Here is a 24,005-nt window from a genome sequence, read left to right as displayed (position 1 = left end):
CCCTACAACACCAATTAATTACTTAATTGCTATACAATTGCCAGTGTGTAGCACATACCAACATGAGACAATACTGCCAGTGAGCTTTCATCTACTGTTATGTTGGGTGCCATCGACAAATGCTCTTTAATACTCCTCTTTGCATATTAAGCCAATGCTATTGACCCACAGGTAGGAGGAATGCAGGTTGAGATGTTTTCCCAGTCCTCCTTAATTATTTGCATTGACTCAGCACAAACTATTTTTTTAACTGCAATAGGTCAGTGAAAAGAACCAAGCTAATGGCAGACACCAAGATGAACTTTGGCCTCATTTGTACTTTGATTTATGAAACTCAGCTGATGTGTCTATATGACTCTAAACAAAATCAAATTGCAGTTGCCAACCCAAGGGATGAATTATGCTCAAGACAGAACTGCCAAATGAAAGGAATAATTCTAATTCAGTCAGTATTGACTATGGAAGCTTCTTACATTTGCGATGTAAAATTTTGCCCCTTAAGAACTGAAAATAGTCAATTTCTAAATGAAATGAATCTAAATGAATTTAAGATTATGTTTAAACGTGTCACTGTATTTTGAGTTTTAGTAGCCTGACAGCCTGTGGTTTTGAAGTTTGTATGTTTTATTTTTCATCTCCACATTTTAACTTCTTAGTTCAAACAAACAGCATCTTTATATCTGTGTACTTACATATACATAGGTTTATTAAAAAAATAAAGTAGAGTAACAATTCCTGAAGTGTGGTTGTAATTTCTACTTCCTTTCTGTAATGCAACTTATGTTTCGAAGCCCCTGTGAGATATAAGACAAAATTTTTCTTTACATTATTATGTAATTTATAAGTGACAACAATGGAAAAACCACAGCCACTTTTAGTCCTTACACTGCGGGGAGGAAAGCTCCAATAGCTTCTGGCTATTTTTCAATTCTTAGTTTTACGAGGCAGGGATAATTTTTTTACTATATACTATTAATAACAGATTTTTTTTTTGAGACGGAGTCTAGCTCTGTCGCCAGGCTGGAGTTCAGTGACGCGATCTCGTCTCACTGCAGCCTCCGCCTCCCCGGTTCAAGCGATTCTCCTGCCTCAGCCTCCCGAGTAGCTGGGACTACAGGCGCGCGCCACCACACCCAGCTAATTTTCGTATTTTTAGTAGAGATGGGGTTTCACCATGTTGGCCAGGATGGTCTCGATCTCTTGACCTTGTGATCCGCCCGCCTCGGCCTCCCAAAGTGTTGGGATTACAGGCTTGAGCCACTGCGCCCGGCCACTAACAGATTTTATATCATGATGTCTTCTCGCCAGTCTTAAGATGAAAAAGCAAAATACGAAACAAGTAAAACCTCTCATCTGTCCTAACCGTTTTCTCCACCCTCAATACAGCTTCTTGGGAAGGCTGGTTTCTGCTGGACAGGGGAAAAACACCTCGGCTTGAATTCTGTCAAGGTCACGACTCCCCAGATCAACCAAGGACTTTAGAGACCGGCCTAGCGACGGTCACTCGACAGGTGACAACGCCCAGCTCGAGCCTCCGGCAAGAGGCGAGCGCCACCTCGCTCAGGGCTTCAGTTTTCCCGTCTGTGCAATGGGACCATCTGTCCCTCTCCGCTTCCCCAGGGGAGGCTGTGAGGGCTAAAGGTGTCGGCAGTCACATCTCTCAAACGAATTTGGGGCCGCAGAGTTCCTTTCAGGGTGTCTGGAACTGCCAAATCGCCCCTGTCCCTCCCACTCCTTAAGAGGACCCCTCACCGCCTCGGTGCCACCGTGACGCCTCAGCCATGGCGGACCTGCACTACACCGCCCGTTCGTTCGCCTGAGGCCGCGGCGCTTGCGCGCTAGTCTTGCGGCGCGCGCTGCCCGGCTCTGACGCCTGCGCGAGCCCCCAGCTCCTCCAGGGCGGCGAGCTACTCGACAAGTCGTCAGCGCGGCTGCGCCGCAGGAGCCCGGGAGGCCTTTCGCCCGAGGCGGGCTGCGGGCTGCTGGGGTCTGGTGCGGAGGGCCAACTTCTGGGAATAACCTGGCTGTGGGCTTAAAAATCGTAGTCATTCATTATCACGGGCTTCTCTCTCTCGAATACCTTTAACATTTATCGCCTTGTTAGTCTCCACATCCACCTCCGTGAAAGGTAGGTATTTTTGTCCTCATTTTAGGCCTGAAGAAACCGAGAAGCTGAGAAATGAAGTAATTCACTGGAAGTTGGGGCCAAGTCTTGGATGCCCAAGCCCAAATTCCTAACCGTGACCCTACGCTGCTGCTGCTGCTGCTACTTGCAGAAACTGGTTATTAACCGAGAGCTGTTGCTGGAAGTAGCTTCCACTCCCCTGCCCCCGTGATGTAAAAATAGATGAAAAACTCTGCAGTGATTATGTGAAAGGTCAGGCCGACACAGGAGTCCTGGGGCCCAGACCCACATCTGACCCAGAAGCTTTGCAAAGATGAGAAGGTTGGTAAACCAGCTATAGAAAAGGCCAAACTAATTTGGCTGTAAATTAAGGCAGCCAAAAGCCCTCCAGGATGTAAGACCAGGACGGATTCTCGTGTTGATAAAAAGGAAAATAAAATGGAATCCAGTCCAAAGGCCCCAGGGAAACCTGCAAAGAAAACCACTAACCAGTTTTGAAAGTAAAAGATAAAGCCACTTTTGTTATTTCCCTGAAAGAGATGTAGACTGCTGTCGATAAATGCTGTTTTATGTGTAGATAAAAAGCAAAACGGCCACACAGTAGTGAGGGTCAAAAACTACCATCGATGAGAGGAACAGGAGAGGCCTCGCAAAAGGCTGACAGCCAGTGAACTAGAAGCCCGAGAGGAAAAAAAGCTTTAGAATAGTTTTAACAAAAGGATTTGGGCTTTCCTGTACTGGGACTCTCAGCTGTTCACAAAATTATGCTTTCTAAAGTAACAGATTATCTGAAATTGAAATTATTAGAGGAAAAACACCCATATATAGGTAATCAAATTTACATAATTTTTTTTTTTTTAGAGATGGAGTCTCGCTATATTTCCCAGTCTGGCCTCAAACTCCTGATCTTAAGGGATCCCCAGCTCAACCTCTCCCAGCAGCTGGGACTACCGGGCTGTCAAATTTACATTAACTATGAGAATTAAGCAGGTAATCTCTAGAGACTATTCTTATTCCTTTGAGCATAACAGACTGAAAAATCCTGAAGAATTAGAAACCTGTTTGGTTAAAACAAAATCACAAATTCAGTAGATTCAGTCATGATTTAAGTTCTTGTGATTGCCTTTGAAGTGCAAACCATGGCAAGTCTAGCTTAGTTTCTAGAGGAATTGGCTGAGCTGTAAGTGAGCTTCACACTGTTCTAGAATATAACATTGCTCTTTTGGAACTTGTTATTCATAGGTTTTGCTGAGTGGAGTTTTATTTTACAGATCTAGACTTTTGTGAAGAGGAGACAGTCCGTTTTAAATATTTGAATTTTATTTTCTTTTGACATACAACTGTGGAACACTCAGATAATCTATACCATGTTAGTATTCCTACAAGAGAAAACGGGTAAAACAGTATTTAGAAAGCAGTACCAGTAAACGTTATTACAAGCATTAGATGTGTTTAAAAAGTTGATACTAATTTATAACCTGTAATTGTTAAATGTGCATGACTTAAATGTTAAAATCCTGTATTTTAAGATAGTCTTCTGCAGTTACAAATCCATATACCCAGATTTCCTGTAGGCTTCACAAATCGGAGGGGTACATAGAATGTGCAAGAGTCAAAGGATAAATAATATTATAAATATATATTAACTATATTACCTAATTAAAACCATAATCTGTTAATACAGCTATGGATTAATTTCAAAAAAATGTAATCAAATATATTACTAATGGTGTAGTTGGCTGTTTTCCAATGTTGGTAAAGTTATTAAAGTTCTTCACTTTCATAGAGTCCAGATTGAGCTGCCAAACGCTGAAATTCTCCTTCTGGGTTAAAAGCTTGTTTTACATTCAAACCTTTCCCATTAAGTGCTAAATATTTGCTGAATGTTGGTCGAACCCGTAACTGCTTAGGAGCTGGAAGAGTTTGGTTTGGACGTGCTGAAATAGATCACATAAAAGTTGATTCAGAAAACCTGTTCTAACCAAATTGGTCACACTAGGTATTTATTATCAGACAGGAAAAGAAAAAAGAACCAAAACTGATTATATATGGGGAAAATATCTCAAATTTTATACTCTGCTGGGATTTTCATTTCTTATTAAATCTTCCTAGTTAAATCCCTTATAATACTTTGGTTAATAGTATGACATACCCGTAACGTCTAATCTTGTGTTACATGTAGTCACTCCAGCTTCATTAACTGCTGACACAGTATACCACCCAGCATCTTTCTTGTTTACATCTTTTATCAGTAAAGTAACTCTTCCAGTGTTATCTTGATATAAGCTGAAATAAAAATTTTTAAGAAATGAAAGTACAGGAATTATTTCTGTGAAGTGGATGTCTCTGACCAACAGTCAGACTAGGAAGAAAAAAACATTTGAAAATTCCAAAGCTGTATCTATTTATTGCCAAATAGCTATTGGTTTTCTTGAATTAAACATCCCCCCTTGGGTGCTGTCTCCCTCTGCTCTTCAATCTGTCCCCTGATGGTCCCTGTCATTCACTCGGGTGTGTCTGTGTTTGTATTTATGCGTATGTATAGGGGAATGGAGGGGTCCTGACCTGTTCCGTTATCTGTCTCCTACCTCCTCCTTTGTTTAATAAAGGCTGAAGCTTTTTGTAAAGAAAGAAAAGAAAAGAAAACATCCCCCTTTAATCTTGTTTATGTCATTTATTTCCTTGGGCCATCTTTCATCATCGTTGATAAAAAGATAAATCCTAGTCTACTTTATGCCTTACATTTCTGATTAGTGGAATCTGGCTTACTGAAGTTTTCTTACATTTTTATCTAATATATATTTTATTATATTATTCTTTAGTGTTTTAAAAACTAGACAAATTGAGATAAATGCATGCCATTTATAATGCATGTTAAAAAGTATAACTGGATTCACCCAAATAAACTATAGTAAGTCTAGAAATACATATCCTACCTTATTCGGTCAGTGTTGAATTGTACCATTTCATTATTTCTTTTCCAGAAAAGCTTTGGTGGAGGTATAGCCGAGATCTGGCATTCTAGTTTCACTGAATCTCCCTCTAAAACTTTTTTGCTCTGTGGTTTGTAGATAAACATTGGTGCTCTTTTATGTTCTTTTGCTATATATTAATACAAAAATTCAAGTATTTGAAATATTATAAAAAAGGTATTAAATCAAACCAAGGTATTATGAAATTTGTATGTTGATATTAAAATGTTAAAAAGCAACAGCAACAGAAAGAAACTCAGTAAAAAAGACATGCAGTACTATTTTGTTATACCATTCAGAATTCTAAACTCTAATGTAATGATGCATTGAATTGATAATCAGATAATTATATTTCATTCAAACTAAAGTCATATTCTTTTTTTTTTTTTTTTTTTTTTTTTTTTTTGAGACAGAGTCTCGCTCTTTTGCCCAGGCTGGAGCGCAGTGGCGTGATCTTGGTTCACTGCAACCTCCGCCTCCCAGGTTCAAGGAAGTCTCCTGCCACAGCCTCCTGAGTAGCTGGGATTACAGGTGTGCACCACACCCAACTAATTTTTGTATTTTTTTTAGTGGACACAGAGTTTTGCCATGTTAGCCAGGCTGATCTCTAACTCCTGGCCTCAAGTGATCTGCCCACCTCAGCCTCCTAAAGTGTTGGGATTACAGTCATGAGCCACCGTGCCTGGCCCAAATTTAAGTTATATTCTTTATCATCTCATCTACAGGGAGGCAGCATGAGTGATGGAAAGAGTATCAGACAGCTTGGGTTCAAATTACCTATTGGCTCCATGAGCCATGCCAAATTGGTAAAATTTTGTTTAGTTTCTCTGAGTCTCAGTTTTATCTATTGTTATAAAAAAAAAATCCCGGTAGTAGTGACTGTTGTGTCTACCACACAAAATAATTGTAAGGAACAAATGAGATAATAAACAAAGAGATACTTTGTAAACTCTGAAGGAATGTGGGAATATCAGTAATTATTATGACCTTATTTTCAGCTACCTGAGGGGAGACAGGAAACGATAGTTCAGTACCATAACCCTGGTTTTTCTGAAGGAGAAATGAGATTAAACGGATGGCAGCCAAGATCTCTTTCAGCTCTACTATTGTAGTATTTCTGAAGCCATTGGTACAAATAGGATTTGTCTAAACTTTAATCACTTAAATTGTATGTGTTTTTGAAAATTTCCAGCCCACTAGTTTTTCCCCTGAGATTGAGGCCCTTTGGTATATTATTGAATAATCTTAAAGATTTTGTATTGATCTGGGTAGAATATAAACTCAAGAAAATAGTTTATCCTTTAACCTGATCAAACTTCTGTATAATAAATAGTGAATTATAGCAAAATATCTCTTATGCAATATACAATGGCTTAAAGTATTAAAAATATGGTATGGGTTGAGTATCCATTATCTGAAATGCTTGGGACCAGAAGTGTTTTGGATTTCTGATTTTTTTTTTATTTTAGAATATTAGCGTTATACTTGTTGAGCATTCTTAACCTGAAAATCCAGAATGCTCTAATGAACACTTCCTTTGTGTGTCATGTCGATTTTGGAGCATCTTAAAGATTTCAGATTTTTGGATTAGGGATACTCAACTTGTATATTTAAAGCACTTAAAGTGTAAAATTTAAAAACCAGACACCAGTTTTATAAGAACTGCTCTACTTAAGACAGATTTGAGACATAAATGTAGCCATACCTGTTTTCTAAAGCAAGTAGGCCTGTTTTGGTTATAATTAGACATTAGTTTCCTAGTAAAAAGGACATAGTCTAAGGCTAAAAGTTGATATTTACTCTTGATTTTTTAAGAAATTTTTTTAAACAAGGTCTGACTGTGTCACCCAGGCCGGAGTACAGTGGTGCAATCATAGCTCACTGAAACCTCAAACTCCAGGCTCAAGTTATCCTCCTGCCTTAGCCTCTCTAGTAGCTGGGACTATAGGTGTGCACCACTATGCCCAGCTAATTTTTTTATTTTTTGTAGAGACAAAGAAGATCTTGCTATTTGTTACCCTGGCTGGTCTCAAACTCCTTGGCTCAAGTGATCCTTCCACCTTGGCGCCTCTTAAAGTGTTGGGATTACAGGCCTGAGTCACTATACCCAGCCTACTCTTCACTTTTAAACTATGTATTTAACGTTTGACAGATTATGATAATTCTGTAATACTGTGAGTCAGATTGGTTATTTTTATTATCCTCATTTTGGAGAAACAAAGACCAGAGAAATGATTAGACTAAGATTTTCATTTTGAGACTCTATAGTTACGTCTAGAAATGCTTATGCTTCATTATTTGGTTTGTCTAAAATTGTATGATTTATTTTCTTTCCAGAAAAGCTTTGGTGATAGATCTGTCATTCTAGTTTCACTGACTTTCCTTCACATATCTATATATGTATGTATGTGTGTGTATATATATATATTTTTTCCTGTGGTTTGTAGATAAAAATGGACATTCCAATAGGTTGTATAGACATTAACCTTAAATATGAAGTCTGCTGGGCTTTTCTTTTAAAATACTTTCTTTTTTTCAATACTTCTGGATTTTAAGGAATTCTCAAGGGTCTCTTTGGAGGCTTACCAAGGACATCCAGCTGCACAGTGAAGGTGGCTTCTCCTGCTCTATTCTTGGCAACACATGCATAAGCCCCTGCATCTGAAGCTCTGACTACTTCAAAGATGAGTGAATGAAGACCCTTCTCAGACACTATCATTTTGTGCAAATCATCTGATTGAACTGTTCTTCCATTTAGATACCATGACACATCAGGAGCTGGCAGTCCACTCACCTAGAAAGAAAAACACAAGGAGATGGCAGAATTTTAAAGTATTGCATCACTGAAACCTATTTGTCCATATATGAATTTAAACAGTTCCCGTATCTGAGTGGGTTTGCGATTGAAATGCAAAGCAAGAGCTCAAAAGTATTTATAATTTTTTAAACAAAACATTGGAAATAAGATCCTTGAAATTAACATAGTATTTTTAGACTGTCTCAAACCATAACTCTTTTACATGCAACCTCAGTCTCTTTATGAACTCTTAATTTCTATATTTAGAACATTAATTTATGTTACATTGGTTTCCATAAGGAATATAGAAGTCATTGCTTTTCTGGCTAAATGTGACTGCAAATGAAGTCCCAGAGGCACATATATATGAGGCTTCCTGATCTAATGCGTAATTTTTCTAAAACAGAGTGTTCTTGAGCTATAGTTTGGCATATAAATGGCAATTTGTTAAGTGTTTTTACATAAACTGTTAACAGTGGAATCCAAAGCTTTAACACTAACTTGAGTTCATAAGGAATCTGGAAAAAAAATTTTATAAGGAAAAGTTCTCCAAAATAAGGATAATAAAAATATAACCTCTTCTAAAGAGCTTTTCTAGTCTGAGGGACTCTTTTAGGCCAAGAGAAAGCAGGGTGGCTTGAATTTCTTGATAGAGGAGAATTGGAGAGACATTATACTTTAAGGCTGGGCACAGTGGCTCACGCCTGTAATCCCAGCACTTTGGGAAGCCAAGGTGAGTGGATCGCCTTGAACCCAGGAGTTCTAGACTAGCTGGGCATGGTGGCACGCGTCTGTAGTTTCAGCTACTAGGGAGGCTGAGTTGGGATGATGGCTTGAGCCTGGGAGACAGGTTGCAGTGAGCTGCGATTGTGCCATTGCACTCCAGCCTGGGTGACAGAGCAAGACCCTGTCTCAAAAAAAAAAAAAAGGGCATTGTACTTTAAAAATTATATTGTTCTGATAGCTTCACTTATAAAAGTATTTATTAGGTATACCTATCCACTCAATTAATCCTCATAATTTTTTGGGGTATTTGTTATCCCATTTTACAGATGAGGAGACAAAAGCACAGAGAGGTTAAATGACTTGTCTAAGGTTGCTTAGCTGGAGGATGGCAGAGCCAGAATTCAAACCCACATCAGTTTGACTTCAGAATTTGTGTTCTTGTCCATTGTACGTACTGCTTTGCAAGCTATGAAGTAGGAAAAGAACATTTTTCAAAACTTAGTATCCCATTGTTAATTTTCCCCCAGTACTTTTGAACCCTTCTCTTACTTTGAAGTCCATTCTGCAGAATCTTCCTTCATCAATCGACATGTTCTCTGGCACTTGAATGAAACGTGGTGGGTAAAATTTCTCCTGGATTGCATCCTGATCATTCACATCTCCCCTTGAGGTTGATCTACTTCTACAAGAATATTTTGGTAACAACTATGCGTAAATATTATCATTGCTTTTCATTTTGCACAAATATAGTTTAGCCATCAATTTTTTTTTTTCAATGGAGTTTCACTCTTGTTGCCCAGGCTGGAGTACAGTGGCCCAATCTCAGCTCACTCAGGAGGCTAAGGCAGGAGAATCGCTTGAACCCGGGAGGCGGAGGTTGCAGTGAGCCGAGATCGCGTCGCTGCACTCCAGCCTGGATGACAGAGTGAGAGTCTGTCTCAAAGATAAATAAATAAATAAAAATATCCAAATTAAGTTTTTGACGTTTTTCTATAGTGGTGGTGTGAACATGTATATAGTTATATTCAGAGATGTGGTATTTCAGTTATACCAACCTCCGCTTCTTGGGTTCAAGTGATTCTCTTACCTCAGCCTCCCGAGTAGCTGGGATTACAGGCATGTGCCACTACGCCTGGCTAATTTTGTATTTTTAGTAGAGATGGGGTTTCACTATGTTGGTCAGCCTGGTCTTGAACTCCTGACCTCAGGTGATCTACCCACCTCGGCCTTCCAAAGTACTGGGATTACAGGTGTGAGCCACTGCGTCCAGCCTAGCCATCAAATTTGAAACCACAGAATCTACTGTTTGATCTGATAGTGTAATAACAATGAAGAGAGGCCTTAGGGCTGTATTTACCTGTGGCATATTTGATGACTATTAGAAATGGTAGCAATTTAGAAACATCTGGTACAAATTGTACATCTTAGTTTCTCTTTTACAGTGCCATGAATTGATGAAGAAATGGTCTATTAAAATGCCCAGTACCCAGCAGATTATTCTTACCACCAAAGATTGTATAATAAGAATTAGGTCTCCATTGTCATGAGAAAATTGTTTAATATAGAAGCATGATCCTGGCTTATTTGACCAAAACATTAAAAAATTCCCCTGTGATAGTTTTGATGATGAACGTCAAAATTTTGGTCATCTTCTCAGACATTAGAAAATACACATTGTATTTTTCAAAAGGTATAGAGTAGGCTCGAGGGCTTTATAAATATTACATTTTTAAGCTGAAAATATTTTAGATAGGAAAACATACATTTCTTTAAAATTAAAATTTTTTACCTTACTTGTGATGTAGGAACTTGCAGTCGCGCATGTTCTGAGTTGTGTTGCTTGAAATTAAAACAAAGTAAGAATGTTTACATGCAATTGTTAGCTTGAATGAAGCAGAATTAAGTAGTTACAGTTGAAAGGAACATTCCTATTTTGGCTGTATTTGAACAGCCCTGGTAAGTTCTATATATTCAGCTTTTAAGCCCTTAAAGTACAGTGCACTAACATACTACCACTCTAGCAAGAAGCCCAGAATTAATGGGACTATTCAACAAGTATTATTTATGAAAATTAGCTAGACTTGGAATTGATGGTGGTTCATTTTTCAGATGACTATTTTATGACAAAGGGTGATGTGTCTCCCTGGTGCATTTGAAATGGGAGCACAGAGTACAGATTGTCCTTTAGTAAAACAGGAATAGACATGAAGTCACTTGTATTGGCAGTAGCTGCAGGGTATTATGCCTGCTGCTCAAAAGTGGCACCAACAGCAGTAAACACATATTAGACTGGAAAATTCTTCTCTTTTTAGCTCGTGGCACAAAATCCTGATGGACTCCACGAAAGGTATGTGTAAGGCTTTGAAAAAGCTTTGTAAAATAGCATTAATTCCTGTTTAATAAAGTTGTATTTAAGCAGACATCTTTTAGGATTTATATCCGAACAGCAGAAAATTATTTCTATTTGAGAATAAAATCAGGGATTTATGAAAATTATAAGAGAACTAATTGATTAAGTAGTGTGTATTTTGCGTTTCACTGTGCTTAGCACAGTGGGAGATACAAAGTGGAAAACACAGTCCCTACCCAAAGCTCTGTAGGAGCACACAAGATCTGAGTACAAATAATTTGCTTTGGGATGAATCTATTTAGCTAATGTATTTTGTCATTTTTAAGGCAAAAGTCTTACAACTCTGTAACAATTTTTGGCTAGCCTTAAGGTTCTCTAAGCAAAATATCAAGACAACTGGTCAATTCAGTGATCAAACAAATCAACTAATTTTTTGGTAAAGTAAAAGTAATCCAATTAAAAATATCCAGGCTGGGCACAGTGGCTCACGCCTGTAATCCTAGCACTTTGGGAGGCCGAGGCAGGTGGATCATGAGGTCAGGAGATCGAGACCATCCTGGGTAACAAGGTGAAATCCTGTCTCTACTAAAAATACAAAAAAAAAAAAAAAAAAAAAGCCGGGTGTGGTGGCAGGTGCCTGTAGTCCCAGCTACTCGGGAGGCTGAGGCAGGAGAACGGCATGGACCCGGGAGGCGGAGCTTGCAGTGAGCCGAGATCGCGCCATTGTACTCCAGCCTGGGTGACAGAGCAAGACTCCGTCTCAAAAAAAAAAAAAAAAAAAAAAAAAAGATGAACCATCATCAGTATAATATTGCTTTGAGTAATTCCCCTAATAGTGATGAGTTTGTGTCTCATTTTTGCTATAATCTTCCATACCAAGTGCAGAGCCCAACATACAAGTAGGTTCTCCATGTAAATTAGTTGAATGAACGAATTCATGAACTGTTTAGTAGCCAAAAATAAATTTAAGTTCTCTTTTCAGTTTCTAGTTCTTGCTCTGGTAGACCCTCTTCCATCCTTTTTAGTAGGTGTAGTTGCATCAAACAGAACCAAAAAACTTAATTTCAAAGGCCAGGTGTGGTGGCTCATGCCTGTAATCCCAGCACTTTGGGAGGCTGAGGTAGGCAGATCACTTGAGCTCAGGAGTTTGAGACCAGCCTGGGTAACATGGTGAAATCACCGTCTCTGCTAAAAAATACAAAAACTAGCCAGCACGGTGTGCGCACCTATAGTCCCATCTATTTGGGAGTCTGAGGCACGAGAATCACTTGAACTTGGGAAGTAGATGTTGGAAAAAAAAAACTGAATTTCAGTTTTCTACATTTGGAAGCTAGGAATATTTGTGTTCCTGGTTTAATCTCTTTGGCTCCCAGTTTCTTGTGGACTTTTTGGAGGGAATGGAAGGTAACTATGAAGGAAGAAAGAGTGCTAACATTCAGTCTACCTGTCCAACTGAACATTTTTCTTTTTTCTTTTTTGTGTTTGAGATGGAGTCTCTCTCTCACCCAGGCTGGAGTGCAGTGGCATGATTTTGGCTCACTGCAACCTCCATCTCACGGGTTCAAGCGATTCTTCTGCCTCAGCCTCCTGAGTAGCTGGGACTACAGGCGCAGGCCACCACGCCCAGCTAATTTTTGTATTTTTAGTAGAGACTGGGTTTCACCATTTTGGCCAGCATCCCCTCGATCTCTTGACCTCGTGATCCACCCACCTCGGCCTCCCAAAGTGCTGGGATTACAGGCGTGAGCCACTGTGCCCAGCCACCAACTGTACATTTTTCTTTGGGGTTAAGTTTACTTGTTAAAATCAAGTTGAGGCCAGGCGTGGTGGCTCATGCCTATAATCCTAGCACTTTTGGAGGCCGAGGCGTTCCAGCCTGGCCAGCATGGTGAAACCCCATCTCTACTAAAAATACAAAAATTAGCTGGGCCTGATGGTGTGCGCCTGTAATCCCAGCTACTTGAGAGGCTGAGGCAGGAGAATCACTTGAACCTGGGAGGTGGAGTTTGCAGTGTGCTGAGATTGTGCCACTGCACTCCAGCCTGCCTGGGTGACAGAGCAAGACTGTCTCAAAAAAAAAAAAAAAAAAATCGATCAGGTGCAAACCTGTGGGATGTGCCACCATAAAGTTAAACCCTTCTTGGAAAGGATACATTTGTTAATCTTAGAACAATTACTCATGAGGGGTTTTTTTTGGTTTTCAGAAAGCATTTTTTGAAAACAGGAATATAACAAAAGGAATTGGATGTTTCATTAGTACCACAAGTATATTTTAAAACATTGAAATGTTAAACAGCTTATGAGAAAGGTTATAATTACTTTCATTTATAATCTTAATTTCTGTCCTATTGGAGGTTCACAACCCATATATTCCCTGTCCGTGTAGACACCATAGAGAGTCCTAGGTCTAACTGACCCATAAATGTCCTGATAAAAAATAATACCATTAGACTTCTTGTGTTTTGATTTTGTGACGTTGTGTATCCAGGTATTAGAACTACCAGAAAATGGGGTAAAATGTGGTAAAATTATGTATATATGTTTATCATGGCCTCTTTATGTATCCAGTGGTGGATGGAACTGACCGACTTTTATTTCAGATGCTATTTATAAGCATTTAGAAAAGCAGACATTTAAAAATCGCACAGAATAAAAATACTCCACTTAGAGCATTTTAACTTACCTGCGAGTCTTGTGCACCACTGTCATCCTGAGCTTGAAACACAGCAGCTGCATTCTGTGGTCCTAGCAATCTGCGAGCCATCTTCTCTTCATATGTTAGACGCTTTAGAGAATTTATTGAGACAGTAATTAGATTTAATAAAAGATGTTTGTACAGGTTTACCTTAAAACCACTACTATAGGTCAGAACTTCAAAGAAGCATAGTTCTATCTATTGAATGATAGATTCTATTTTTTTTTTTTTTTTTTTTTTTTGAGACGGAGTCTTACTCCGTCGCCCAGGCTGGAGTGCAGTGGCACAATCTCGGCTCACTGCAACCTCCGCCTCCTGGGTTCACGCCATTCTCCTGCCTCAGCCTCCTGAGTAGCTGGGACTACAGGCGCCTGCCACAATGCCCAGCTAATTTTTTGTATTTTTAGTAGAGACGGGGTTTCACTGTGTCAGCCAGGATGGTCTTGATCTCCTGACCTTGTGATCCACCCGCCTCGGCCTCCCCAAGTGCTGGGATTATAGGCGTGAGCCACTGCGCTCGGCTGATTCTATTTTTTTTTTTTTAAAGTCTTTTCTTCCATTCAAAGCATTTTCCTTCTATTCTAGTACCATTTCCCTCACTTGCAGTAAAGGTTCACTTAGGCTTTCTTTTTGCTCCTATGACAGGCAAGCATAATCACTCTTAAATAAGGATCTCCTAAGTAAAGGGAAATTCAACCCTTTCCTCCGTTGTTCTGCATGTTCCAGTCAGCTTTGTTTTTGAATATAATACTTCATGTGCTCACATTCAGAAGTAATTTTTATTTAATTTTAATTAATTAATTTTTGAGACAGAGTCTCACTCTGTCGCCCAGGCTGGAGTGCAGTGGCACGATCTTGGCTCATGGCGACCTACGCCTCCTGGGTTCAAGCAATTCTCCTTTCTCAGCCTCCTAAGTAGCTGGAACTACAGGTGCATGCCACCACACCTGGCTAATTTTTTATTTTTAGTAGAGATGGAGTTTCACCATATTGGTCTGGCTGTTCTCGAACTCCTAACCTTGGTGATCCACCTGCCTTGGCCTCCCAAAGTGCTGGGATTACAGACGTGAGCCACTGCACCCAGCCAGAAGTAACTTTTATTAAATGAGCACTGAATATTTGATTGTACTAACTTCTGATTGAGAGCAGTCCAACTGATAGGCTAAATGTATTTGTATTAAAGGCATATAGTACTGTTTAAAGATAAGTTACTAATATAATATACACAATAAGGACTACATGATAAGAATTATAGCAATAATTACCTGTCAGTGTTATACATCAAAGTACACTAAGTTGACTTGACAGTAATTCCTAATAGCTATTTGGGCATCAGACATATTTTATGAGAGGGTAATATTTAATAACAGAAAAATTTCATTAAACCATTCAGATACATTTTTCATTTGCTTCATTCTTTTACTACTGTAAACCAAGAGGTGATTTCATGCAGAGAGAAATGGAATAGGGCCCAAATATTCCTTCTTTTTAGATAATCTTATTCCTTGTTGATATATGGACCTAGATCTGTGAGCTAGAACTTCCTTATTAAAATTAGATTTTATAGTTTAATTGGCCTTTTGTACAAAATAGACATCTTGCCCACTTGATTTCCATTATGAAGAAGGGTGTCCTTGCATTTCAGCTTTCTTTCCAAATCTTGAATCAAAGCTTCTTTTGATCCTTGTATTTCATGATCAGGAGTTCTTGGTATGGGCTTAGCATTTGCAGTTTGGGATGGCTTTGCATTTATAGGTTGGCCAGCTGAGGACTGTTGATAGCTTTAAAAAGGAAAAAGAAAAGATTTTTAAAAAGAAGGTCTTGGCCTCATTTTGCAAATTACCTTTAGATATGTTGAGTTTACCACTTAGTACTACTAGTATTATTAAAAACAAATTGCCCTAATAACAGTCAAGAAATATTTTATAAGAATGGTTACTATCTTTTTTTTTTCCTTTTGGCAAATGGAAATTAAGTGTCAGGAGGAAGAATTTAGATTAGACATAAGGAGGATGTCCTTCCTTGAAGATATTCCCTAAGGAATGTGAGAGTAAGTCTAGTTAGTGGCAGCTTGAGAGCTCTTCCAATCTTATGAGTAATTTCTTTAATAAAATTTTTTTTTAGATTCTGGGAGTACATGTGCATGTTTGTTACATGGGTATATTGTATGATGCTGGGGTTTGGCCTTCTAATGATTCTGTCACCCAAGAGGTGAACATAGTACCTGATAGTTAGTTTTTGAACCCTTTTCCACCTCTTTCCCTGCTTTCGGGATCTCCAGTGTTTATTGTTTTCATCTTTGTGTTCATATGTACCCAATGTTTAGCTCCCACTTATAAATGAGAACATGCTCTATTTTATTTTCTGTTTCTGTGTTAGTTTGCTTAGGATAGTGGCCTCAAGCTGCATCCGTGTTGCTGCAAAGGACGTAATTTTGTTCTTTGTTATAGCTACGATGACCGAATTTCTTGTTTGATTTATGGGTAGATATTAAGTGGTGGTATTCTGGAGCTGGTTCATATGGGCTGATTTTTAGCATCTTTTCCCAGCTTCCTATGATTTCATGTTATAGTTTGAAATTGGTTGTGGTGGAAATATTTACACCAGGGAAATCGGTAAATATCACAAATAATGGCTCTTTTGTCCAGTGATTGTTAGACATTTACCAGCACACCACTGGCTTTTAGTGAATAATCTTTTGCTTTGAATGGAGTCTACACAGTCATTGACTTTCCTGTAATTTCCAATTCCTATTAATTTCATATTCTAGAAAATCCAAGTATGGCACTATATAACAGCAAATAACTTCTAAAGTAATGACAGTTTCTTCAATACTACTGAAGTGATTTTTAGAGAAAAAATGGGATGATTTGAGGAAGGAGAAAGAAATGTAAACTGGAAAAAAGCAAATAAAGTCTTTATTTCAAATTTTGATCCTAAATTTTTTCTATGATGTCCTTGCCCCTCCCGTATTTCCCTTGTTGATTCTGATAGAGGATAGGGTGGTATTTAGAGAGTCCTGTATTTTTAGATCTGTTAGGTAGCTTAAATGTATCACAGTGCTTTATTCAGTTTTTACCTAGTTTATCCATTCAGAGCCCTGCAGGGGCTAATCTTTATTTTTAATTTTTATTTATTTTTTTGAGATGGAGTCCCGCTCTGTTGCCCAGGCTGGAGTGCAGTGGCGCGATCTCGGCTCACTGCAACCTCTGCCTCCCGGGTTCAGGTGATTCTCCTGTCTCAGCCTCCCAAGTAGCTGGGATTACAGGCACCCGCCACCATGCTCAGCTAATTTTTGAATTTTTAGTAGAGACGGGGTTTTGCCATGTTGGCCAGGCTGGTCTCAAACTGCTGACCTCTGGTAATCTGCCTGCCTGGGCCTCCCAAAGTTCTGGGATTACAGGCTTGAGCCACCGCACCCGGCCTGCAGGGACTAATCTTTATTAATCTATTTAATGTGAGGAAACTAGCCACTGCCCTCAATGAGTATTTTACCATTATTATAATAAATGTTCTCTGGCTATCCAGATGAGACAATCTTGGTCTCTTCTCTGAAATGATCCTTTCCAAATATTCTCAAGGATCATTAAAAGGACTTGTGAGCTAAGTATAAATGTATTTCCTCCAAGTAGGGCCAGAGTTTTAATTTTTACTGGCTTTGGGAACTTGGTTAGTAATCATTAGATTGTAAACATTCTGGAGAAAAAATATGTCTTATTTGTTATCATTATATCATTTATATCCACGAACACAGAGCATGGGTATAGGAGATACTATCAGTTGAGTGAATGAGTGATTTTCATAGTATTCAGGACACTCTATTGAAAGCTAATGATACACATTTCCTCTCCTGACATTTCAGGTCTTAAGATCTTTATGGTTGTCTATATAAATTTTTAAAGTCTGATTTGTTCAGTTAATAGCCAAACAAAATGTTTTTTAAAATAGCGATTTTTTTTTTAAAGATTGAATTCCTAGATCAAAGTGTCAAAATCTCTTTGGCCTTATAGATCTCATATTTTTTCAATCGTATAGAATTATAATAGACCACTTTTTTTTTTTTGAGACGGAGTTTCATTCTTGTTGTCCAGGCTGGAGTGCAATGGCATGGACTTGGCTCACTGCAACCTCTGCCTCTCTCTATGTCTCCCGGGTTTAAGCGATTCTCATGCCTCAGCCTCCCAGGTAGCTGGGATTATAGGTGCCTGCCACAACACCCTGCTAATTTTTTTGTATTTTTTTTTTAGTAGAGACAGGGTTTCACCATGTTGGCCAGGCTGGTCTCAAACTCCTGACCTTGGGTGATCCATCCACCTTGGCCTCCCAAAGTGCTGGGATTACAGGTGTGAGCCACACCTGGCCTAGCCTACTGTTTTTTTTTTTTTTAAAAATGCTAGCTTATCATCTTTATAAGTCACACATTTGTTAATGTGAATTAGCATTAAATAATTGTTTTTAGACTTGTCATATCTGGGAAATTCTGAATATATCTGAGAAGTCCTGAAGGATTATCAAAACCAATCCTGAGAATCACTGATGTATATGTAACCTCAGTCACTTTGTTCACTGAATACTCTCATTATTCCCAGTTTAGGTGGATTAAGTGTTACGACTTGATAAATGCTCCCATTTACAAACTAATAGTACGTTTGCACACTGCTTTATAGGTCCTTTCTCTATCATTAATTACCTAACTCTTTAATATTGCTACAGACCAGAAAATTGAAGCACTGGGTAGGTAAAGTGCTTGCTGAATTTCACATAGCAAGCTTTTTGGAAGGAACAATTGAGTTCCCCTCAGTTTTCAGTCTGTGGTTTGATCAACTGGGTAAAATGTTTGCCTAAGAGCTTCCTATTGATGAAAATCTAAATAAAGCTTTCAAATTTCTCTAGGTCAGAATCCAAGGGATTATTTTGGAAGTCAGGGCGAACTGGAGCCCATAATAACGAGGGAGTTGTGCACAAATGTTCAAAGGGCCAGGGCTTTCCACTCTGCACAGCTGGACACGAAATGGGTATCAAGTAGCTATGGGAAGATTAAAGAGTTATCTGTGGTTGCTGAAAATGGAACAGCTAAAGTGGATCTTTGATCTCTGGTTTGGGGACCTCCTAGGCTTTATTTCTTATTATGTTTTTGCCTTTCTCTTTTCTTAAGTCTTTGATCACTTTCTTTTCTGGGCAGTAATTTGAAATATGATTGAAAGACTTTACTAAGAAAAACAAAAAATTCTTCTAGATTTTAAAATGCTAATATAGGAAATATGGAAATAATAGAAAGCTAGATGGAAAATGATCATCTGGGTAAATATAACCAAGAAAGATCTATATATTATAAAGGGAATTTGGGAGGGAAGAGAAAGAAAGGGCTCTCAATTATTAAAAACATCCTTTTAAAATATTAGGTTAAACCTGTGAGAATGCCATTTTTGTAGGTCAAAAACAGTTGACTATCAGCCATTTCAAATGGTTCAACTTAATATCTATAGGATTCTAACAAATGTTTTTGGTTTTCCTGATTTTTATTTTTTAAAATATTGAAAAGGTTTTTTTTTGCAAGTTGAATTGCTATAGGCAGTTCAACTAGATTTCCAAAGTTGTCACCAATAATAGGAGTTTGTAGAAAAATTAGCCTCTAGAGAAGACTGCGAGAAATTAGCAGAGTTGAGTGAATGTATTAGTAAGCCTGCAACAAAACATATTCCATCAGACAATTTTTGAGATGCCTCTGATTTAATTCTCTGATGTTCCAGCCAGCCAAGGAACAGGAAAGCTGATAGCCAATAGTTTGCATAAGCACAAGGTATTCAGTTCATGTTTTAAAAAAAGCATAACCACCATCTCCTTTTTCATACTAGGTTCTCCTAGGACAGTCTTAGGGTAGTGGAAATAGCACATGTTTACATAAGGCCCCAGTATTAGTCCCTGTATTTAGATCAACCCAACTAATTTGAACAAGGTGTGGTTTTAATTACCAAACGAAACCGTAAGGTCATAAGCCTTCATCTATTCAGGCCTTCCTTCTTCTGATCACAGTAAGGAAAATGTATACATTCCAGGGTCTGAGTTCCAGGTTTTTTTATTTGTTAATTTAAAAATTTTTCAGCCAAGTGGATATTCAGGATTAGAGGGGAAAAGGGATAGGAAGAAAAGACTGAGAAGAAACTTAATAGCCTCTGCTTATGTGAGAGGAAATCCTATCTGAAGAAGAGCAGACAGGTGTTCATCTTAGCCAAGCCCAGAACCAGAGGAATTAAATTTACAGCATGAGGAGCTTAGCTTAGAACTAAAGGAAAAGTTCATTGTTCTTTGGTATGTGAGAAATTATTTTTTTCAAAGATGGAAAATAATGGGTAAATAATTTTATGGGGTAATAGGTAATTGGATTCAGCGCAGCTTGGACACTGGAGAATAGTCAGATGACCTCTTATTGCCAGTACCCTGGTTCAGCATGTTCTAGTAGAACTATGGAATGAGACTGTAAGGTCACATTGCCTTTTTAGATAGTAAAGAATGAACTGCAGCATACCCCCAAAACTCCTACCCCCTCGCAAACTCCTCAGATATAAGTTCACTGTACATGCGGTATATAAAAATTCACTTACTTGGAATCCATAGCGGAAGGGATTTTACTGCTATTGTAATCAGGCTGTGATGGTAATATGGAGCTGAGGAAGCTGGCTGGGGACTGGTTATAGGTGGTTGTAACCCTTTGGCCTGGGTTGGAGCCAGCATGCTGCTGGGGAGAAGCAGGGAAAGCAGAGGAGGACATGGTGATGTGAGAGCTCAGTGTTGAGGAGGCAGAAAATCTTTGCTCTGTACACTGGCGGGGCTGGATGATAATGGAAGACTGTTTGGTCTGGCTAGAGAAGCTGGAGGTTTCTGGTCCAGGAGGCTGCAATCTGGAGCCACATGGGTTTTGGGACTGGATGAAGTGTTTTGGACGTTCGTAGTTAAACATGCTTAGTTGGTATATGGAAGATGAAGGCAAATTATTACTATAATGATTTGTTCCTGGAAGGGTGGGGCCCTGAATTTGGGGCCACAAGCCTGGAATTACGGAAGGTTGTAAGGAATCAGAAGCAACCTTGGTCTGCTCTTCCTTGTTGAGATCCTGAGAATACTGTGCTCCTGGCTTTGGTAGAGTGACCTTCTCTTGAAGAATATTGTTCCTTCAAAAGGAGAAAATAATTGTTACAATATTTGCTTAAACAATAACATTGTTTATTTGACATCTTTCAGATCTGATGTGCTTTTTCTTTTCCTTTCTTTCCTTCCTTCCTTTTGTGTGTGTGTGTGTGTGTGTGTGTGTGTGTGTGTGTGTCTTGCTTAATCGCCCAGGCGAACATAGCTCACTGTAGCCCCTCCAACTCCTGGGCACAAGCGATCCTTCCACTGCACCCTCCAGAGTAAGGACTACACATATAAGCCACCACGCCTGGCTAATTTTTCTTTTTTTCTTTCTTTCTTTTTTTTTTTTTTTTTTAGTAGAGACAGGGTTTCACTATGTTGCCTAGACTAGTCTTAAACTCTTAGCTGCAAGCAATCCTCCCGCCTCAGCCCCCCTTGGTGCTGGAGTTACAGGTATGAGCCCCCGCACCCAGCTGAGTGGATTGCTTTTTAACCTTACAATTCACTGCTTCTTTTTCTCTCCTTGATTCCAAATTGACCATATTACTAAACTAGATATTAATTAAGGAGTGACTGTGTGTATATGTTTGTGTAGAACATATGTTACAGGCTGCATTCCAGAGCCACTTATACATTTTTCTGTTTTTATTATGTATTTTTAAACAGAATCATACCTTATAATTCTGTTATTTTTAGATTATACTTCCTAGTTGTTGGTCTTGATGTTCTTTTAATTATCTAGAGTTTTACTTTTTATTATTTGTTTAGTATGTATTTTAGACTAATTTTGTTTTTTGGTCTTTTTTTTCTTTTTTTTGCCACACCTTTGGAGATCTCAGACTAATTTTGAAATTGCTTTAGCTCTTTTACTTTTTCTTTTCAAATGGCAAACAGGAAGCATAGAAGTAAATAAGACACATATGAAACTAGTCTATACCTTACCAAGAAAAGACAGGTGCCATTCCTCCTACTTAGCTCTGTAGTGGGCCTCCTGCCTTCCTACAGTACATCCTCATTTTTTCTCAGATGAAACATTTGCCATGAAAATCAACCTTGAAGGATTATATTTGTCTCTGATTTTTTTTCCATTAGTATGGTAAACCTAAGCGGGACTATATATAGACATTACACACAAAGACTAGTCCTATAAATTGTTTTCACACTAATCCTGTTTTCATTGAAAATATCAGATAAATTGATTCAAAATACATTTGCCTATTTTGTTTCATCTGGTATAAGCCAATACTGAGATAATGACAAATCAAACTTTTAACTGAAAAATTAACCAAATTGTTTGTCATCATTGAAACGAAGTCTTCTAATTATTTTAGTTACTGTCTTGGATAAAATGTTAATAAAACTTTTCCAGACCAAAGAGTTTCATCCTAAATAATAGGATACCTTCAAAAAATAGTATTTCAAAGTTGCCTATGTAGTTTAGAGTTAAATTAAAACTAGCAATTTTAGGAAAAAACAGAAATGCAACTAAACAGCCAAGAGAAAGACGCTATTGAGAAAGAATACTTAAAAAGTTAAATATTCCTTAATTTCAAGTTTATGAACACAAATACATTAAACTAGAATGCATTTTAGAAATGAACTACTTTAGGCATTTAAATTGTTGGGGAAAAACATCCTGAAGGAGGGCCTTGAGTAGATCTAAAAAAAAAGTCTATTTCAAGGCAAGTAGTTTTGTAGTTATCGGTTTATTCAGTCTGTTGCAGAATTGAATCCAGAGTTTGATTCCTAAATTTCTTTCTGGGCAGGTACATTATTGAGACTCATTTCAGATAGCAAGGAATAAACCGCTTATGAAATAGTAGATATTTTCCAGAAACAGTTCTCTTTTTTTCTTTACATATATTTTCAGAATGGCAACTGTCTTGTACATGTTGATATTGGCCTACATTGTTAATAATTAGTGATATTTTTAAAAGCCCAATTAAAAATATGTTATTTCATAAGTTTCATTTTATCCATGTGTCAAAATTTTATGCAGACATTTACGCAGGTGATCCTGTATTTTCTTTATGTTTGTAGTTACTGTTCAACAATTTAATTCTATAATAGATTCTGTTATATGACAGGGTCATTTTATTCCAAATAATGTTAAATGAATTTCAAAGATTTTTATAAATAAAGTACTATTCAGTCTCCTTTTTAAAAAATCTTAACATTTTTTTCCTGTCTCTAATATAGCATAGACTTGCACAGAAGACTGATAGAGGATATGTTGCGTTCATAAGACATCACCACAATTACATCAGATCAAGTGTCCCTTTTCAAGGAAAAATGGTGATTTAAAAATAATGACACACAGCTATCTTTCCTTCTATCATTTGTATAATGCCTTCCAGTCTCAATGAAATGAATGAGTCGCTTTCTCTTTAAATTTTTGTGTAATACCATTATAATGTTGTGGCTTTCAAACTTTTTATCTGAAAATCATCTTTGTATACACTCATCTGATTTGGACAAAAAACAAAAACAAGACCTAAAAGTGTAGTAGGAATAAAGAAGGGACTTACCCGTAGTTCCAGAGGGTGCCAGCTGGGTTTAACCCACTATTGAAGGGAAGGAAGAGGCATCTCCTTCCCTCACAGACTAATCTAGTGGCTCTGTGCTTAGTATTATAGCACCACTGACTTTTATCAGCTGCCAAACAGTGACATCTGATGTGCTTGCCTGTCCATCTACCTATGCTGGCATGTCAAAGTAAGAGTCCACAATCTAAACAATATCTCACGTGTCTTAGTGGTATTTAAGGAGTGGGATTACATGAGCTTCTTTTGCAAGCCTCTTTATTTCAGACGTGAATTTTGACTATGAACTTTAGCAAGCTCATGTGAGGGAAGGGCAGTGAATAGGGAAATGGGAAAAATAGAAAAAAAACCCTCTTATTTCTTTATTATGGTGGGGACTTTGAATTTTCCCAGTTTAAGAGAGAGGACTAAAGGGAAAATAATATTTCAAGAGTGGAGTTCTTCTATCTATTATACTAAGACTTCTCCAGGAATAAGACCAGTGATAGATGGGCTCCCAATTGATTTGTATTGCATAATTCTTCATCTGAAGTCTTTTTTCTTTTGCCTAATGAGAGTAGGATTCAATAATAGATTTGAGGTCTCTCAGTACTAGCAGTTTGTTCCGAGGTGGAGGGCAGTCTGGGCAAAGCAGGAGACCGAGGTCATAGTGACATGTCACTGGGAAGG

At 38.2% G+C, this 24,005-nt stretch overlaps 2 protein-coding genes and 1 long non-coding RNA gene across 14 annotated transcripts in view; 1 reads left to right on the top strand and 2 right to left on the bottom strand.

Annotated features, from left to right (window-relative positions):
- The window catches only part of PKD2L2 (polycystin 2 like 2, transient receptor potential cation channel), a 53,291-nt gene extending 51,473 nt beyond the window's left edge, over positions 1 to 1,818 (bottom strand). For 6 of the 8 annotated variants that reach the window (NM_001300921.2, XM_017009343.3, NM_014386.4 and 3 more), the window contains exons 1-2: positions 1,753 to 1,818; positions 693 to 794 (exon numbers count right to left, since the gene is read on the bottom strand). In NM_001300921.2, coding sequence (NP_001287850.1) covers positions 693 to 794; positions 1,753 to 1,783 — 133 coding nt within the window. In that variant the 5' untranslated portion in view covers positions 1,784 to 1,818. Of the gene's footprint in view, positions 1 to 692; positions 1,050 to 1,752 lie in introns of those variants that run through there. The other 2 variants (XM_011543318.4, XM_017009344.3) reach the window with 2 other exon arrangements.
- Positions 1,956 to 24,005, top strand: part of PKD2L2-DT (PKD2L2 divergent transcript) — a 35,509-nt gene continuing 13,459 nt past the window's right edge. Inside the window, exons 1-3 of one of the 2 annotated variants that reach the window (XR_007058950.1) lie at positions 1,956 to 2,128; positions 2,987 to 3,115; positions 7,654 to 10,967. This is a non-coding gene — a long non-coding RNA (PKD2L2 divergent transcript). The remainder of the gene's footprint in view (positions 2,129 to 2,986; positions 3,116 to 7,653; positions 10,968 to 24,005) is intronic. The other variant, XR_948815.3, reaches the window with a different exon arrangement.
- Positions 3,424 to 23,415, bottom strand: MYOT (myotilin). Of its 4 annotated transcripts, NM_001300911.2 has the most exons (11): positions 23,322 to 23,415; positions 20,750 to 20,834; positions 20,268 to 20,398; positions 15,272 to 15,446; positions 13,654 to 13,755; positions 10,410 to 10,459; positions 9,170 to 9,302; positions 7,684 to 7,891; positions 5,062 to 5,227; positions 4,278 to 4,411; positions 3,424 to 4,062 (listed from the first exon to the last, which is right to left on the bottom strand). In NM_001300911.2, exons 3-11 carry the CDS (start codon positions 20,276 to 20,278, stop codon positions 3,890 to 3,892), a joined length of 1,152 nt encoding a protein of 383 aa, NP_001287840.1. In that variant the 5' UTR covers positions 20,279 to 20,398; positions 20,750 to 20,834; positions 23,322 to 23,415; the 3' UTR covers positions 3,424 to 3,889. The 4 variants fall into 4 exon arrangements, with proteins under 4 accessions (NP_001287840.1, NP_006781.1, NP_001129412.1 ...); NM_006790.3 differs by having other exon boundaries at positions 20,268 to 20,834; NM_001135940.2 differs by lacking the exon at positions 20,268 to 20,398.

Source organism: Homo sapiens, chromosome 5 (assembly GCF_000001405.40).
Source record: "Homo sapiens chromosome 5, GRCh38.p14 Primary Assembly".
In the NCBI taxonomy this organism is placed as follows: Eukaryota; Metazoa; Chordata; class Mammalia; order Primates; family Hominidae; genus Homo; species Homo sapiens.
This window is presented reverse-complemented; position numbering and strand designations above follow the sequence as displayed.